The 18579-nt window shown below is 46.0% G+C and overlaps 1 pseudogene across 1 annotated transcript, besides 2 other annotated features; it reads right to left on the bottom strand.

The window, feature by feature from the left end:
* Positions 1–1517: 1517 nt before the first annotated feature.
* On the bottom strand, positions 1518–18115 carry HLA-DPB2 (major histocompatibility complex, class II, DP beta 2 (pseudogene); annotated as a pseudogene). The gene is made up of 5 exons (NR_001435.2): positions 18016–18115; positions 13411–13674; positions 2533–2813; positions 1887–1997; positions 1518–1566 (listed from the first exon to the last, which is right to left on the bottom strand). The product of NR_001435.2 is annotated as a major histocompatibility complex, class II, DP beta 2 (pseudogene) (transcript).
* Positions 12244–12846: an enhancer, noted in NCBI's record as "OCT4-NANOG-H3K27ac-H3K4me1 hESC enhancer chr6:33085562-33086164 (GRCh37/hg19 assembly coordinates)". NCBI's record gives its function as "activates a minimal SCP1, AML or CMV promoter by ChIP-STARR-seq in primed H9 embryonic stem cells {active_cell/tissue: H9 hESC(primed)}" and the evidence as "EXISTENCE:reporter gene assay evidence [ECO:0000049][PMID:30033119]".
* Positions 13450–14052: an enhancer, noted in NCBI's record as "H3K27ac-H3K4me1 hESC enhancer chr6:33084356-33084958 (GRCh37/hg19 assembly coordinates)". NCBI's record gives its function as "activates a minimal SCP1, AML or CMV promoter by ChIP-STARR-seq in naive H9 embryonic stem cells {active_cell/tissue: H9 hESC(naive)}" and the evidence as "EXISTENCE:reporter gene assay evidence [ECO:0000049][PMID:30033119]".
* Positions 18116–18579: the final 464 nt, after the last annotated feature.

The following is an 18579-nucleotide window of genomic DNA, read 5'->3' as shown; positions in this document are numbered from 1 at the left end:
CCTGCAAGAGTTAGTCTGCAGATTGTTCACTCCACTCTGGGTACGGCTGACACCTACAGCATGCGTCCAGGGGACAAAAATGGAAGGAGATGACTCTGATTGGATAGTGAGAGGAACACGGGTAGCTCTGGTAAACTGACCAGGGATAGGCGCCCAGGGGCACACAAGGCCCAGAAGCTGCTTGTGAGAAGTCAGGGAGAAGGAAGCCAACAACTGGATGTATCAGAGAGCCACTGAGTGCTCATTATGTGTATCAGGAGTTAAGAATCCATCCTCTACACGAAAAGGAAAGCTTAGACCAAACATGTCTTCTACCTTGATTTACAGTAACTTAATATGAAATGCAAAACACATAAAAATTTTGGATTGTAAAAAAAAGATCAGTGTTTGAAAGAGTGCCACACCTATTGCTTTGCACTTTCAACAATGGGGAGGCGTTTCTCACTGTATGAATTATTAGCTCAGGAGGTCTAGGCTGGTGAATGAATGCAGACTTAGAGGATAAATGTCGTCTACTTGATGCATTCAAAAGGCCAAGCAACATTTGGTTAAGGAGTATTTGTGATGGCATGCAAAGAAAGTGTTGAAAGTGTGTTAGATTATATTTATCGTTTTAAATTCTGATGCTTATTTAATTTCTTAACAGTAATGCTAAAACATGCTCTTAGTAAGTTATATGTTGAATCAGTGCTATGTTAATATGGGCCCTATAACACAGATTTGCAGTCTGTTCACCACTGAATAGCTAAGAATAGTGGTTTCAGACCTAAATGGATGAAGACACCAAACATGAGGATGGGGCAGCTCACTGAAATATAGTAAATCCAGGAGAGGTCTATGTCCAACAGGCCACCTTATACAATAGTTTGGATGGATTTTCATGGTTTTCTTCTTTCTTATGTCTAAACCACAATGAACTTCTTTATTAACTCTTACTGTTTGCTAAAACCCTCAAGAAAAAAAAGTGATGAGACATGACTTGGTGTATATTCTTAACAGAAAACAATCATGTTGGGTTTTGATTACTCATGGCACTAAGGAGAAAGGAACTTGGTTGGAGGCCCCATGAGAGAAATCATGCATTGAATCCAGGAACAGAATGATAGAAACTGGCTTCAGTGCAACTACTCAGCAGCAGCATCCTCTTGGGAGGCTGGGGGTCTGTCCTCGAAGCAGGTACTGGGACTAAAGAAACAGAAAATGCTTGTTCCAAGGTACATTAGTCTTTTAGGCAAGGTCAGCAACCCTGTGGAGGTAAAAAACAGTAATCCCAGGTTGCTGGCCCCCTTCCTTTAAGTCCCAGGAGAGAAAAATAACGGTGAGAGGCTGAATCTCAGGCTGATAAAGAATAGAGTTGATCTGAGCTTCCTTTAGCAATGGAGCCATGCAATGCTCTTTCCCCACTCACCCCAGGGCTGAGGTTGAAACAGGGGTTCAGGCCTGAGACTCTCTTCCTAGAGGAGCCTCAGTGTCACAATGTACAGAAAGGACTTATGTCCTCCTGTAACTCCCCCAACAAGGAAATCAAAGCAGGAATATTGCCTGTTTATGCAGATCCTTGTTGAACTGAAATGAAAGGAAGAAAGAGAATGTATTCAGCTACTGAAACCACCTCAGACAATTAGAGAAACGTTTCCATCATACTTCCATTGTCCATCACTCAATGGACGCTCTGCAGGAGCCTGAGTAACTGGGACCTCATGCATCTGGCTGCATTAAGATGCCAGGCTGGGATTCCTCTCTCCTTAGAAGCTGTCTTTGTTTCCTGACTATGTGATTTCAGCAAGCTCTCTGGCATTGCTTTTTTGTCTCAGCCCCTCATCATGGAAGAAGGGTGAGCAAGTCAGGAGAAAGGTGGGTATCGGTCACCTCACAGGATTTCTCACCTTTCTTCCTCCTTCTGTGCGTGAAGATGTCCACTCCACAGATGATGAGCCCCAGCATGAAGCCCCTGGCTCCTGTCAGCATCTTGCTCTGCACAGAATCAGACTGTGCCTCTAGGAAGAACAGGCTCAGGTTCAGAGTCACCTCCAGCAGCTGCACCCCTGCTCATGTCCTGTCTGAGATCCTGCAGCCTGATGCAGAATATTGGCACGAGGAGAGCGAGGGGAATACACCTTGCATGACAGGAAACTGAGAAACAGTCACTCTCTCAATTCTAGAACAGAGGGTGTGACCTCAACAACAGACAAATTCAGATTCAATTAGTTGCCTCTCAAAATAACTTAGAATAAGCTAAAAGGCTGAAGGAAGACAACAGTTCCCATGTGTAACGTCAGTTCAGGAAGGTGTCTGCATCCCTAGATTCTTGGACAAGGAGAGGAACTATGAATCCTTAGGACCTCCTAGGCCGGGGGCAGGCAAGTCTCCATTGTCCCCAGGTTAAAACTACACTCAGTGTCTTCTATAGAAGAAAAATGGGGTCGGACATGGTCCCAGGGTATAGACACATAAAACCAGATGAGTGGACCCCAGAGCCAGAGAGTCCCCTGCTCTTCAGAGGTGGAGTCTAGAGGGTCATCAGACCCTCACTCCACTCCACGGTGACAGGACTGTCCAGGCTGGGGTGCTCCACTTGGCAGGTGTAGATGTTTCCCTGCTGGGGGGTCATTTCCAGCATCTCCAGGATCTGGAAGGTCCAGTCTCCATTACGGATCAGGTTGGTGGACACGACCCCAGCTGTTTCCTCCTGTCCATTCAGGAAGCATCGGACTTGAATGCTGTCTGGGTAGAAATCTGTCACGTGGTAGACAAGCAGGTCGTGGTGCTGCTGGGGCTCCTTCTTGGAGGGGAGATGTTCACCCTAGGCTGGACTAGGAGTGGCGAAGTGGAAAAGTGGAATAGCATTTGAGATTATTATTTCTTAGACATGCTCATTATGGAATTGATTTCTAGATGTTGAAAATAGGAATGATGGCCAGGCGCAGTGGCTTACACCTGTAATCCCAGCACTTTGGGAGGCTGAGGCAGGTGGTTCGAGACCAGCCTGACTAACATGGAGAAACCCTGTCTCTACTAAAAATACAAAATTAGCTGGGTGTGGTGGTGCATGCCTGTAATCCCAGCTACTCAGGAGGCTGAGGCAGGAGAATCGCTTGAACCCCGGAGGCAGAGGTTGCATGAGCTAAGATCCCACCATTGCACTCCAGCCTGGACAACAAGAGTGAAACTCCATCTCAAAAAAAAAAAAAAAAAAAAAAAAAAAAGTAGGAATGATGTGATTAGGTCAGCAGATAAGGGGAGTATTGAAACTATAGAAATAGTATTGAGAAGAATAGGAGGCACACAAACTTACCAGTTTGTAGCACATTTAAAAGAAATCTTATCTATCAGCCACTGATTAACAGCCTTTGGACAAAGAATATTTAATCAGCAGCGACACTACCTTATCTTTTGAGTGCTCTATCCTGATGCAAAAGATGAAAAATTTGCTCAAATGATTTCTTGAAATTAATATATATATAAACAACATTCTCATGGTCTATTAATCCAATAACTATATTTCATAAATATATCAAGAAAATAAAGTGAGCTTGACGTGACTTATTCTGCAAGTAACCTATGGATTTTTTGGCCTCGCCTACAAACACTCAAAATCGTCCTATTTACATAATATCCTGAGCCCCTACATGCTTAAATAGTAGAAATCCCATCCTTTTCCCTAAGTTCCTCCTCTGCACTGTGTTGTCACATCCATTGAGGTTCTCAGATAACCAGGTGTTGGCTGTGCCTTGGCACCTCTCTATTTTTGCCCCCTCTTTTTCTGCCGCTTACAGATCAATTTCCACGCTACCACCTGCAGCTTTTCCTTTGGACCTCAGCCACTAGTACCCTTTTCCTCCACAGAAGGCAGAAAAGGGCCAACTGCCCCTAGAGAACAGCTCAATTACAGGAATGTTCCAAATCAGAGCTTCTAGGTCCTTATTTACTCTGTTCTTGAGAACACAAATACACTGACATGGGCCTGGGCCAGGTAAATGAACAGTCTTTAACTAACCCCCAACCCTTACTCCCTATGGCATTTTTGCCTTGTGTCCAGGATTATTCACATTCACAGCCTCTTCCCTCGATGTGATTTTATTTCAGAGGCACTTGGCTCTCGTTCTACTTCAACCACCTCCATAAACTCAACATCCATCAGACTGGTCAGCCCATGTCTGAATCCCAACTGTAGATTAAGTGGAACTTCTTCCCCATAGGTGTCCTGGGAAGCATGAAAGTCATGGGATATATGGTTGTCTGTTTTAAGGTCCCAGAACATTCCATGAGAAGCACTTTGCTCCATCTTCTTTGACGGGAGCTGGTCAGCCTGGAGCACATCAGAGACCTCCAGGGGGCGCTGCAGCTAAGGCTTGATACCCAGTGGCCTCATTTCTGACCCAGTTCAAATATATTTCACCAAGGCAAGGATTCCTGTTTGTTCTAGTTGCCTTTGCTCAGTTAATTCTAGATTTGGGTGGGCATCCACACTGGAATGGCCAGAACTTCTATCCTCCTCTTTCCTCCGTCTCCCCTACCCCTGTGTTTTTCTTTATTCTAATTCATGCCCTTATTATGATTTCCCTGGACAATAATAGCAGTTTCTTATCTCATCTCCCTGCCTCTGGTTCCTGCTCTCTCCAACTGACTTCACAGTCTTCTGAAAACAGATTTCCAGCCTTGTCATTTTTTTTTTTTTTTTTTTTTTTTTTTTTTGAGACGGAGTCTCGCTCTGTCGCCCAGGCCGGACTGCGGACTGCAGTGGCGCAATCTCGGCTCACTGCAAGCTCCGCCTCCCGGGCTCACGCCATTCTCCTGCCTCAGCCTCCCGAGTAGCTGGGACTACAGGCGCCCGCCACCGCGCCCGGCTAATTTTTTGTATTTTTAGTAGAGACGGGGTTTCACCTTGTTAGCCAGGATGGTCTCGATCTCCTGACCTCATGATCCACCCGCCTCGGCCTCCCAAAGTGCTGGGATTACAGGCGTGAGCCACCGCGCCCGGCCTCCAGCCTTGTCATTTTAAGATTTCTGAAGATTTTCAAAAATCTTCAGTGTTCTGACACTTATCTGGTTACATGGGAATCACTTGGGAGCTGATTAAAAACACAGATCTCCAGACCTCCCCACCTAGGGAATCTGAATCTCTAGGCAGTGAGTCTGGGGGAATCTTTGCTTCACAGAGGATCTCAAGGAGAGTCTTCTGAGCAGTGAGGTTGGGGACCTGCTGGCCTAGAGGAGAAATCCACACTCCTTAGTCTGGCATCAGGGGGTCTCTGCAATCTGGCAGCTGATTACCATGAAAGAAAATGCTGCCATGTCGCTGATTTGGGCCTCTATGAAGTCTTAGTGACAGATTTTGCAAATTGTATTACTTTTATTTGGACACCTCTCTCAACCAATTACGCCAGCAACTTTCCTAAACCCATGTCACTCTCCTCATCCTTACTCAATGTGTGCATCTTCTCCCTCTTATCAGATGACCTTCCTTTCACTTTCCCAGGAACAGAGGGATCAATGGTGTGACCTCCTGAGCCTCCTCCTCCTCCCCCTTCATTCTTTCCTCTTTCTCTAGGACAAAGGTCCTTGTTTAGTGAGAGGCTCACTGGTGCTTTTTGGTCTCCTTCACGGGATTTCTCTCTTGGCCAAATTAATACACGAGTTATTAAGAGATTATTTTTAGGCAGCTAAAAAGGGTAAAAGTTCTGGGTGGAATTTTCCTTTAATAAAAAGCAGCCCCAAGCCATTTTTTCTCTAACAGAAAGCAGCCTGAAAACTCAGGCATAGATATGCAAACTAGAAGCTTTTATGTAAATGCTGGCAGCTGTTCCTGGAAGTCAGGTAATTCAATATGGCTATTCTCACCCTCTTTCCCTTCTACGTTTACAGGTGTCAAGGCAGCCTCCAGGTTAAAGCACGTGTACAGGTATCATGGCCGCCACCAGGTGGAGGCCGCATTTGTATAATAAAATACTAGGGTGGGAAGGCCAGTCTTTTTGCAGGTTATGTAAATGACACACCTGGTCAAACCAATCCCCTGAGCCCTATGTAAATCAATCACTGCCTCCTCAAGCCTCTGTACAAAACCAATTGCTTTCCACCAGAAACAGGAGACCCTCTCTTGGGTGACCTGCCTTATCAGCATTAGGAAGCTTTTCCTCTCACTCCTCTTTTCTATTAAACTTTCCGCTCCTAAACCCACTCCTTGTGTGTGTCCGTGCTGTGAATTCTTTTCGGCTATGGTAAAGAACCAGGGTATATACCCTAGACAGTGGAGCTGTTTCATTTTGGGAGCTCATCCGGGATCCAAATCAGAATGGAAGATAGAAACATCGGAGTGGTGAGTATAGAGCAAACGTCAAATCTGTTCTTTAATCTCAAGAATCTCTTCATACCAGTTTCCTTTCATGGAGAACTTCACCATCGCATGAGGCTGGGAAAGTCTTGGGGCAACTGAAAATTTCTGGCCAGGGCACACCCTGGTGTTATTCAAAGGCTTCTGGACTGAACGCAGCCTCCGACAGCCTGTCCAGGTGTTGGTAATGGATCTCCAGCTAACCCGTTGCAAAATTTTCCTTTCCTTTGTATCCGTGGTCACTATGTCTCCTGTCCTCTCTCTCTGTGTGTGCAATTTGCGGGAAGTTTTACAGTTCAGGGAAACACTCCTGTTAGGGAAGATCGGCAAATGCCACAGGCAGTAACTGTTACTCTCTATCCTCTCTGGCGAGCACATGGTAGTGCTAAGCCAACAGCACCACCTAGTGGAAATAAAAATCCTCTTCATCAGGCACCTTGTCGGTTTTTTACCGTAACACTGCCGCTTCCAAATTCTTTCGTGCCGCTAGAAAAGCCTCTTCTGTGAACGAGAAAGCACTGTCTTCAACAGTTTGGAGTAAAATGTCCTCTGTAGTGAAATTTTAGTTCTGATACTGTCTCATCAGCAGGAAAAACAGCCATTAGGTTCCTACGTTCATTTCCGTCTCCAATTAGGATAGTACTTAATTAGCAAGGGGATTTTAGGTTCGGAAGTTAACCAGAGCCATTTTGCTAAGGGTAAATGTCTTAGCATGGGCCGTAATGGCAGGCAATCTAGCACACTGCCTCCGTTAAAGGAGCCTACCCAAAGATGACATAGTCTCTCTGGAGATCCATTTTTCTGGGAGCCAGGCAGATCACACAAATTTAGGACGTCAAAGGGGATCACATAAGGTGGATAAGCTAAGGTTGTGTGGGTAAAGTATGGTTAATCCCATCACTTAGTTTATCCAGTTCCACGGCTTGGAGGACCACGCCTACAACCATGGGTGGTACATTTAACACGTTGCCAGGACCCAGGAACCAAGGAGAGAAAACAGTAGGGAGGACACTTCCACTGTCTTCTCCTCCACCCTGGGTCACAATGAAAGAATGGGGACGAAAGGATACTTTTATTCTCACTTCTTTTTCTAGATGGGTGACAGACCAGCTTCAGCTTGCACCCCTCTGGAGTGCACTCTGAAACACTGGAACTCCTTTAACCTCAGGACTTTGAAGAGAAAAGTGACTCATTTTCTTTTGCACAAGGGCATGGCTTTTTTACTAAACCTTTGCAAGCACTGTAAGATCAGCCCAGCTTTTTAAATAGGCATATCAGGTAGGCCTATAGAAAATAATCCCCCAGAATTAGAAAGGCAATTTCCAAGGGAACCATCTGAGAATTCCCCTTATTTAGGGTTGCCAATATGGGGGAAGTAAAGAGAAATCAGACTGTTGCTGTGTCTATGTAGAAAAAGGAAGACATAAGAAACTCCATTTTGATCTGTACTAAGGAAAATTCTTCTGCCTTGACATGCTGTTAATCTGTAACCCTAGCCCCAACCCTGTGCTCGCAGAAAACCTGTGCTGTATTGACTCAAGGTTTAATGGATTTAGGGCTGTGCAGGGTGTGCTTTGTTAAAAATGTGTTTGTAGGCAGTATGCTTGGTGAAAGTCATTGCCATTCTCCAGTCTCGAGTACCCAGGGACACAATGCACTGTGGAAGGCCGCAGGGACCTCTGCCCAAGAAAGCCTGGGTATTGTCCAAGGGTTCCCCCCACTGAGAGAGACAGCCTGAGACATGGCCTTGTGGGAAGGGACCTGACCTGACCGTCCCCAAGGCTGATTCCCATAAAGGGTCTGTGCTGAGGAGGATTAGTGAAAGAGGAAGGCCTCTTTGCAGTTGAGATAAGAGGAAGGCATCTGTCTCCTGCTCATCCCTGGGAATGGAATGTCTCGGTGTAAAACCCGATCATACATTCTATTTACTGAGATAGGAGAAAGCCGCCTTATGGCTGGAGGTGAGACATGCTGGTGGTAATACTGCTGTTTACTGCACTGAGATGTTTGTGTAAAGTCAAACATAAATCTGGCCTATGTGCACATCCAGGCACAGCACCTTTCCTTAAACTTATTTATGACACAGAGTCCTTTGCTCACATGTTTTCCTGCTGACCCTCTCCCCACCATTACCCTATAGTCCTGCCACATCCCCCTCACTGAGATGATAGAGATAGTGATCAATAAATACTGAGGGAACTCAGAGACCAGAGCCGGCACAGGTCCTCTGTATGCTGAGCACTGGTCCCTTGGGCCCACTGTTCTTTCTCTATACTTTGTCTCTGTGTCTTATTTCTTTTCTCAGTCTCTCGTCCCACCTGATGAGAAATACCCACAGGTGTGGAGGGGCTGGCCCCCTTCAACCTCAAGCTCCCTTTTCATTACAGGACCTTAGGCAAACAAAGGAAGACTTATGCTAATTTTCTGATAACCCCAATAGGTATATAGAAGCTGTCCAGAATTTAACTCAGGTGTTTCACCTCACATGGAAGGATGTTATGCTGCTCCTAAACCAAACTCTAACCGCAGTTGAAAAGCAGGCAGCTCTGCAGGCAGCAGATAATTTTGGAGATGAGCAACATATCTCCTATAATACACCAAAAGGGAAGAAAAGAGATAGGGAAAGTGAAAAAAATAACAGAAACACCATTCCCAGTAGGAAGGGAAGCAGTTCCTCTCGACAACCCCAACTGGGACCCCAGTAGCTCTGCAAATGAATAGAAATGGAAGCATTTTTAAAATATGCATATTAGAGGGTCTATGAAGAACTAAGGCCTGACCTCTTAATTCCTCTCAACTGTCTATGATAGACCAAAAGCCAGATGGGAATCCTGCAGCTTTTATGGAAAGGCTGAGAGAGGCACTAATAGAGCACACTTCCTTAGCCCCTAATTCAGTCAAGGGATGGCTCATTGTAAAGACAAGTTTATTACACAGGCAGCTCTTGATATTAGAAGGAAACTGTAGAAGCACGCTATAGGACCAGATAGCACCTTGGGGAACCTCCTGAGGGTGGCCACTTATAATAGGGACCAGGAGGAGGCCCCCCAGAAAGAGAGAAAGCTCAGGAGAAAGACAGAGGCTCTAGTAGCAGCTTTGCAAGCTTGCAAAGTCCAAGATTTCTGAGGTGCATCCGCTAGTTGCTATCAGTGTGGCAAGCCAGGGCATTTTAAAAAGGAGTGCCCAAACAGCAAGAGGAAGCCACCTCAACCCTATCCAGCCTGTGGTGGAGACCACTGGAAATCAAACTGCCCCCGGAGACGGAGGTCACTGGAGTCAGAACCAGTCTCACAGATGGTCCAGCAGGACTGATGGGTCCTGGGGCTCAAACCCCAGCTCCAGTGGCTCAAACTGCCATTACAGCACGGGAGCCACCAGGTGATTCTGGAAATTGAAGGAAGGAAACTAGACCTCCTTCTAAACACTCGAGCCAGTCTCTCTCTCTTTTCTCCTCTTTAATCCAGGCCTCTCTTCTTCCCATAGCGTGAGTGTAAGGGGTGTCTCAGGAAAAACTCTATTCCAATATTTTTCTCAACCTCCTAATTGCAGTTAGGAGGACCTATTGTTTACACATGCTTCCAAGCCATTGCCACGGTGGCTCTACTAGTCAAAAAAGCCTCCAAATTAACCCTAGGAAATAATTTAACTGTTTACACCCCACATAATGTAGCAGGATTACTGTCCTCTAGGGGAGACTTTAGCTAACAAACAGCAGGTAAAGCAAGAAATACATAAGGCAGGACAAGCAATAGTCACTCTAATGTCTCTCCCCAGACACAAGCACTCAATTAGCTGAACTAATAGTTCTTGCAAGTGCACTTAAATTAAGCAGGGGAAAGATAGCTAACATTTCCACTGACTCCAAGTATGCTTTCTTAGTTCTCCATGCTCATGCTGCTATTTAAAAGGAAAGACATTCTTTTACCACTAAAGCATCTCCTATAAAATATCACCAGGAAATTAACAGGTTATTATCCTCAGTTTTCCTTTCACGAAAAATAGCAGTAATGTATTATAGGGAACATCAAAGAGGAACAGATGAAGTAGCCAAAGGAAATAGGTTAGCTGAGCAGGGAGCTAAGCAGGCGGCAGGGAAGCCTCAAGGCATTAACACACTTCAAGCCCTTTTAATCTCGGAAGCCTCCATAAAAGAAATTAAACCTCAGTATTCCCCTGCAGAAATAAAATAAGCCACTTCTTAAGGGTATTCCAGCCCTGAGGATGACAAACTCCATTTACTGGCCTCCAGTCAATGGAAAGTCCTTAAAATCCTTCACCAAGCTTTTTCACATAGGAAAGGATAAAACTTATCATCAGTGTGCTCAGAGATTGTTTTCAGGCAGAAAACCTCTAAGTTGTTTAAAAATGTAACCTCTCTAGCTCACTTCCAACAGAAATTGACACAACTAGCCAAAGGCCAACCCCAGGAAATTGGACCACCAGAAAATTTGGTATTGGTGAAAACTCATCTCTCTCTCCTTCCCTAAGCCAGGCTGGGAAGGGCCCTACACAATTCTTCTTTCAACCCCCCCAGCAGTAAAAGTTACAAGTATCAACCTCTGAATATATCACACTCAAGTCAAAGCCTGAAAAGCTGAGGGAGCAACCTTTGACAGCCCAGAGGAACATCCTGAATATCAATGTGGAGATATAGAAGATCTTAAGCTGAAAATCATAAAAGGTAAGTAAATGAGTGAGGGCTACTCGCCTTAGCGCCAATCCTACCTCACCAGGTACTCTTTATCATTTCTACCTTTCCTCTCAAAATTCACTGCTCAGTATTAGAACTTTTTTTTAATGCATATTTGCAGAGAGATTTTAATTATACATGGGACTGCATTTGTTACTTTGTAAATCCCCAAAGGGAAACATTATATCTTGGCAAGTAAAGTTTTAAATGGAAATTATTTACTACGTCACTTTTGTGGGAATTGTTATCATCATGCTGTTATTTGCAATAGAACTGTATACTGTGGCACCCACAATGTGGAATTCTGGTTGTAAAATTCTAATTCCTGTAATATTTTGCCTAATTATCATCTTTATGACAGAATTAATAATTGCAGGAAGGATTTGGTCAAGTTTGTTTTGCTTATAGCAGGAGTAATAGTTACAGACAAGAAGTAAGCATGAAAATTTTACTATCACTAAGTTTGATAGGACTTTTTTATTGAAGATTGGTAAATGGTGCACTCTAAGCTATGGAAAGAAGGTTACAAATAAAGGGATTTTATATAAGAAAGGATCTTGTATAGTAAATTCTTGTCCTAAAAGGAAATGACTGGTTGTTTAAGACAAGTCAGAAAGTTGAGTACATTGTAAGAGGGTCTGTGAAAGTCATGAAAGAATTTAATAATTAAGAAATTTAATAATTAAAGGAAAGGAATTGCCAAGATTAACACCAAAGTTATTTTAGCCACCCAATAACGTTTTTCTCCCAATCATATCATAAGTTATAAAGAATGGCCTAAACCAAAAATTATGCCCTAATAGCAAGTCAAGGGGGAAACATGTTTTCTCAAAGGAAATGATGCTTTTATATTAACGTTTCTGGTAATGTACAGCGACATCTAGTGGAGACAAACCAGTATTACAATCCATTGGTGTAACAGGTATCAAACTCTACTGCCATAGTTACAGTCTATAGGTGGTAATCTTAATACTCATATGGTAACCCTATATTTTAAACCTTCTTGTAAAATTTATCTCTTTTTGCCTAGAAGCAATCAAACTTCAAATGGTGCTGCAAACAAAGCCACACATGGACATGCCATTCTTCCAAGAAGCCTTAGATCAACCTCAGGAGGAGCCCCAACTGCAGCCCCCCGACACGACGCCCCTTTTCAGCAGGAAGTAGCCAGAAAGAATCGTCGTCCAACACCCCCTAACAGCAGTTATGGTTACGTCTCCTGAGGGAGGAAATAATACAGGAGTTATTAAGAAATTATTTTTAGGCAGCTAGAAAGGGTAAAAATTCTCAGTGGAATTTTCCTTTAATAAAAAGCAGCCCCAAACCATTTCTTCTCTAACAGGAAGCAGCCTGAAAACTCAGGCATAGATATGCAAACTAGAAGCTTTTATATGTAAATGCTGGCAGCTGTACCTGGAAGTCAGGTACATCCAATATGGCGGTTCCCACTCTCTTTTCCTTGTCACCACGTTTACAGGTGTCATGGCAGCCTCCAGGTAAAACCACATGTACAGGTATCCTGTCCACCACCAGTTGGAGACCGTATTTGAATAATAAAAGACTAGGGTGGGAGAGTCAGTCTTTTCGTGGGCTATGTAAATGACACAACTGGTCAAACCAATTCCCTGAGCGCTGTGTAAATCAATCACCGCCTCCTCAACCTCTGTACAAAACCGACTGCATTCCACCACAAACCGCAGACCCTCTTTTGGGCAACCCACTTTCTCAGCATGAGGAAGGATTTTTTCTCTCTTTTCTTTTCTATTAAACTTTCCACTCCCAAACCCACTCCTCACGTGTGTCTGTGTCGTGAATTTTCTCGGCCATGACAAAGAACCAGGGTATATACCCCAGACAATGGAGCCGTTACAAAATCACAATGTCCAGTTCCCAGGATCCAGTCCTATGCTCCTCCCGATGGGTCCCCTCTCCCTGGGTGGTCTCATGTAGGCCAGGCCCCTCCCCCGCTGCAAACTCTTCTCTCACCTGCCCATCAGACCACCCATCTGGCCCCTCAAGCACCTCAAACCCGGCCATCTCCCTGCAGGTTTCTTCTCTGCGTGGCCTGCTGTGCCATCTCCACCTTCATCTCCACACCGCACCCCTGCACGATGTCCTGTGGCCTCGTTTCCCCTCACCCCACATGCAGTCAGCTGCCAGGCCTGATGAAGTCCCAGGGGTCTCTCTCCCTCCATCCTCCTCACTCCATGCTCAGCCCAATCTCCGTGCTCACCCTCCTGACAAGCTCCGGTTGGGCTCCTCCCATCAATCCCCAGCTCAAAGTCCCCTTCCCTCCTGGCACTAAGGTCCCTTAGGCCGGCCCGGCTGCCCCTACTCCCTGGGCCCGGCCCCCACGGCTGCCCCAGGAGCCCTGGTTCACAGCCCTCACCTCGGCGCTGCCGGATGAGTGGCTCCATCAGCTCGTACTTGTGTCTGCACACCTTGTCCACCTCGGCTCGCTTCCGTTCCATAAAGTCCTTCTGGCTATTGAAGTACTCGCCTATGGGCCGCCCCAGCTCCATCACTGCTAGGAACTCCCCCACTGCGCTGTCAAAATGCACGTATTCCTCCCGGTTGTAGATGAGCCCGTCCACAACGCGCTGAGTCCCATTGAACGCATAGCATTCCTGCCGTTCCTGGTAGACGGAATTCTCTGTGAAGAGCAGGGAGAGATGGGGGTGGTGCCACTCCCAACAACACCCCCCTCCTCAATATTAGCTATTTCCTCAAATCTTCCCACTCAGGACTGGATTTAAAAATACGATTTTTCCTACTACCGAGTTCTGTGGTCCTAGGCAGGTCACAGACTCCAGGCATCAGTTTTCTCACCACGCAGCGAGAGGATTTACTGAAAAGAATGAGACTCACTGCTCAGGGTGGCTGAGTGATCATTAGGGAGGGGCGCACGCTGAAGGGAAAGCAGCCCTTTCTGCTGGCGGCTGGAGGAGGAGGGGGAGACATTTCACGTCTCAGGGAGGAGCAGAATCTCATCAGGGGGAGGGTCCCTCAGGCAGAGAAACAGTAGGGATAGGAGGAGTTGGGGACCTGGAGGGCAGAGCTGCTCCCCCTACCCAACTCCCTGCCTGACATTTCCATCCTGATGTCAGTCCTGGCTCAAATGCCACCTCCTCCAGGAAGCCCTCCATTCCTTCTTTCCCTTTCTACAGCTAGGTTCTCTCTCTTCTCTGCCAGTTTCTTGAGAATACCTCAAGTTGCTCTTGCTGTTCTGCATGCTGGACATCTCTGCATGCTGGAAATGCAGAAATGCATTTCCATGCATTCCTCCCTCCCTCCCTCCCTTCCTTCCTTCCTTCTTTCTTCTTTCAATGGAGTATCCTTCCCTCCCTCCCTTCCTTCCTTCCTTTCTTCCTTTCTTTCTACAGAGTATCACTCTGTCGCCCAGGCTGGAGTCCAGTGGTGCAATCTCAGCTCACTGCAACCTCCGCCTCCAGGGTTCAAGCAGTTTTCCTGCCTCAGCCTCCTGAGTAGCTGGGATTACAGGTGTGCGCCACCACGCCCAGATAATTTTTGTATGTTTAGTAGAGATGGGGTTTCACCATGTTGGCCAGGCTGGTCTCGAACTCCTGACCTCGAGATCTGCCCTCCTCGGCCACCCAAAGTGCTGAGATTACAGGCGTGAGCCACCGCACTTGGCCAGAAATGCATTTCTTAAAACTTCTTGAAGTTTGCCATAAGAAAGACTATATAGCCTGAAAGTTAATTTTCACTTTCAAACATGGCTGTAGAAAGACTTGATCTCAAAACACCTGGAAAATATCTTAATCAATGAAAATCACCAGAACAACCAGAAAGCTAAGTGACTGGACTCCTTTAGGTTTAGAGGCATTGATGGTGTCATTTTTACATAAAGAAATGTGGCAGCCTTTTCCACCTGCAGTTCTTCCTAGGGAGCACCATGGGCAGTGTCCGGCAGGTGCATGTGTATACAGAAGTAGCAATGACCCAGCACATGTCTGAGCCTCTTCAGACCTGATCTGTTCCTGGTCACAGTGGGGAAATTAAGGTGCTGTGATTTGCACACAGCAAATTAAGGTTTGTTTTGGACACCTGTTTCATGTTCTACAAATTAGCAACTCACGTTTATTAACCTCACCCCTCATAGAAGATGCACAGCTGGTGGCAGAGGACAGTAGAGAAGGGGTGGGGCTGGGCACAGCGGCACCGTAGACTCGGCCTGTAGTTTCCAGTGTCATCTCTAAGGCAAGATCCCAGGACTTTAGATATCTTAACCCGCCTCTTCTCCTAGTGCCTTGGGCTCCAGCCCCCTAAACACCCAGGCCCATCGCCCCCAGCCCCTTTAGTCTGCCCCTCCCTATTCAAGTGCCCCACTCTGAGTGTGTATCCTCTCATTTTAATTTGTTAGTCTTTGTTCCTCTTCCTCATTCACCAATAAGAGAACATGTTTTAGTCAAGAGTAAGAATTTCAAAACTTTCTTTTGCAACATTTAACTTTTTAAAGGGAATTTTACCTGCAAAGCAGATATAAGTGATGAGTATATGGTGGAATTTGAAACTTCATTTTTTTTTTGTATATGGAAAACTTTATCCTGTTTGCGGAATCTTTGACAATTGAGTTACCCAGAGCACAATTTGAAAACCAATGATCTGAGTGAATTCATCTCTCACTCAGAATAGGTTATATTAAAATATAATTGCAGAAAGATATAATGGAGTCCATATGGGTAAGAAAAGGAACATGTCACAGGTAGGGATTCCAGTTCTTGCACTACGACTGATTACTAAGTTATCTTGGACAAGAAACAACCTTCTAACTCTCCATTTCTTGAAAGGCAAAATAGTAATAATACTATTTACCTTGCAAAACTGCTGTGAGAACCAAATGAGCTCACATATGTCAAATACATAGTATTGTATCTGTTACTGCTCAATCTATCTTAGTTCCCTTCCTCTTTTCACTGTGTGACCTGTTTGAATAGGAGCAAAATTCTAAATAAATGCATATGAAAGAGGAACTGGATCAGCTTATGAGCTACTGGAAAACCTCAAGAAGACTTTCCATGGGCACCAGATCTTAATGGTTGAAAAGTGTTTGTTGGCTGTTTGCTGACTGGATCTTCCCCCCTCTCTTTTGTGCTAGGGATTTTATTTGAGGAGTTAGATTAACAGAAGAGTGAGTACCCAAAGACTCAAATGCACAATGAGCTTCTGCAAGTGCCCAGCTGGTGTGACAGGAGGACTCGGGAGTGTGGCCCTAATGCTTGGGGTAGTGGGTGGGGTGAGGTAAGAAACTCAGCTGTAAAAAGCCCATTTTAAAGCTTGTCAGAGACAAAAGGGTGTTGCCTCCAGGAGTCTGGTTTTTTCACCTGCCGTGTCATCTCCTGCTCCCTAGGTGTTGTCTCAGCCAAGCTTTTCTCCACCCTCCCCTCTCTCACTTTAAGCCACAGCCTGGCTCCTTGTGCCTTTCCTCTTGTGCTCTGAGGATGGAGATGTGTGTGGAGTTGGAAGAGCATGCAGGGAATTGTGGAATTGGCCCTGCCCACTCTACCCACTCCCCTATGGCTCCAGCTCTCCCTCCAGCAGGTTTTGATTGGACATTCATTCTACACGGGGAGCTCTGGTAACCCACCCTCGGTTCCTGTCACATGGCTCCACTGCCTCATCTCATTTCCCCTACCAACCTCAACCCAGTCTTTGCCCGTCCACCTGTTCACTGCCCACCATCATCACGCTCCCTCCTGTGCTTTCTGCTACCCCGCACCTTGAGGGTTTCCATGGCGTTTCCCAACACCACCCCTCATCCTACAAACAACTCTGCCTATGGACACTGTTGCTATGGACCTCCTGCTGGACACTGTTCAGTGTCACCAGCGCTGCTCCAGCCTCCTCTCTCCCCAACCTCACCCCTCTCCAGTTCCCAGGGCTGAGCCATTCTGCTGGTTAGTTCTCAGCACCCCTGTGACTACAAGTGCAGTTTGTCCACCCTTTCCCGGACAATGAACCTGAGGTAATAGGTGAGGGGCTTTGGGGTTTGAGGGGCTGTCCTCAGGAGATTCGAATACTGTTACCCTGGAAAATGAGGAGGTGACATGAGAACAGCACTTTCTAGGGGTGTCCTAGGTGGATGTGGAAGGGTCTCAGAGGGAGGGTCTATGCAGAAAGGTGGAAGTCAGTGGAAAACTAAGACACCTACTCTGCAGTCCTTCCTCTCAGGGTGTTGGTGTAAATTTGGACCAGAAAAGTAAGAACATCCTGAGAGAAAAACAATGGGTCATAGAAGCCATAATATTACACCAGCCACAAGGAGACAGCAGGAGACAGAGGTTTTTCCCTTGGTTACTGCTTTCTTGGCTGTCTGATAACCTACACTCAATCTCTTTCACGTACTCACACATCCTTATCTCATTCTTCTGACAGGTTTCAACCCATCCTAATACTCTAACCAAGTTCTGGGGAGGCTGGGAGAAATACCTTCAACAAGAGTGCCTTTAGGGGCTCGAACCTGTCCCCCTCCCTCCCATCTTGCCTTCATTGTCCAGGGAGCATTGGCTCCTGCTCCACCCTGGAGAATGAGAGGCATTCTCTGTGAGCACTGAATCCTCAGTGATACTTGTAGTCTGGACACACCAGCTAAGGGCTCTCTGCCTGAGTCCCCTCAAGGTTGGATGCAGATGTGAGCACACCCAGGAGTCTGCACTTGCCAACCTCTCTCTCTGAAACCTTGTCTGTCCAAGGTTATCCTGAACCTCTTGGCCCCATTTCCCCATAGACAAGCAACTTGACCCCTGAGCACCTCCCCTTATTTACTGTGTCCATGTTCCTGGAGAGAGAATAGACCTGGTGGATAGCAACCTATCCTATAGGAGGTGAGTTTGATTCTCCAGCTGTGATAGAAGGACACTAGGCCGTGGCAGGAGCCCCACATGCTGTCTCAGAGTCTGGTTCCATAAAGAGAAAGTCCCCTAGGAATTGTTCCCTGAGCCAGACCCTCCAGGAATAGCAGCTCTGCTCTTACCTGGAGTGGCCCTGCTCTGGACCACAGATATGAGCAGCACCATCAGTAATGCTGTCAGAGCCACTGTCCAGGGGCCCCCTGAAACCTGCAGGATCATCATGGAGTTGGAAAAGGTTGGCAGAATGAAGAGAGCTGCAGTCAGGAAAACAAGAACTCATTAAAGGGAGCTCCTGTCTGAAATATTAGAGACCATGAACCCAAGCAGTCTTCTGTGACCCTAGGATTGGACAGACTCTGAGAAAAGAACCAATGGGCACTGAGCTTTGTATGAGTCATTGCTCACTGGGCAGAAAGTTAGTATTAAAGATCTGACAATATAGAGCCAGTGATGCTGTTACGAGGACAGATGGAGAACACTGACACTCATTTTAACCAGTCAGAGTCATGAGTTTTGGGGAGATGATGTGTTTTCTTTGCTCTGAAGGTGATCTCAGATATTCTGCTGGCCCACCTACAGGGATTATCATTTCCCCAATTCTGCCACACCTCACACACCCACAGGACATGGCCTGGTGTGGAAGAAATGCTATCTCAATGTGTAAAAGGTCATTCAGTGGCATGATT

The sequence above is a fragment of the Homo sapiens genome, chromosome 6, assembly GCF_000001405.40.
Source record: "Homo sapiens chromosome 6, GRCh38.p14 Primary Assembly".
In the NCBI taxonomy this organism is placed as follows: Eukaryota; Metazoa; Chordata; class Mammalia; order Primates; family Hominidae; genus Homo; species Homo sapiens.
The sequence above is the reverse complement of the archived record's forward strand: the minus strand, read 5'-3'. Positions and strand labels throughout refer to the sequence as shown.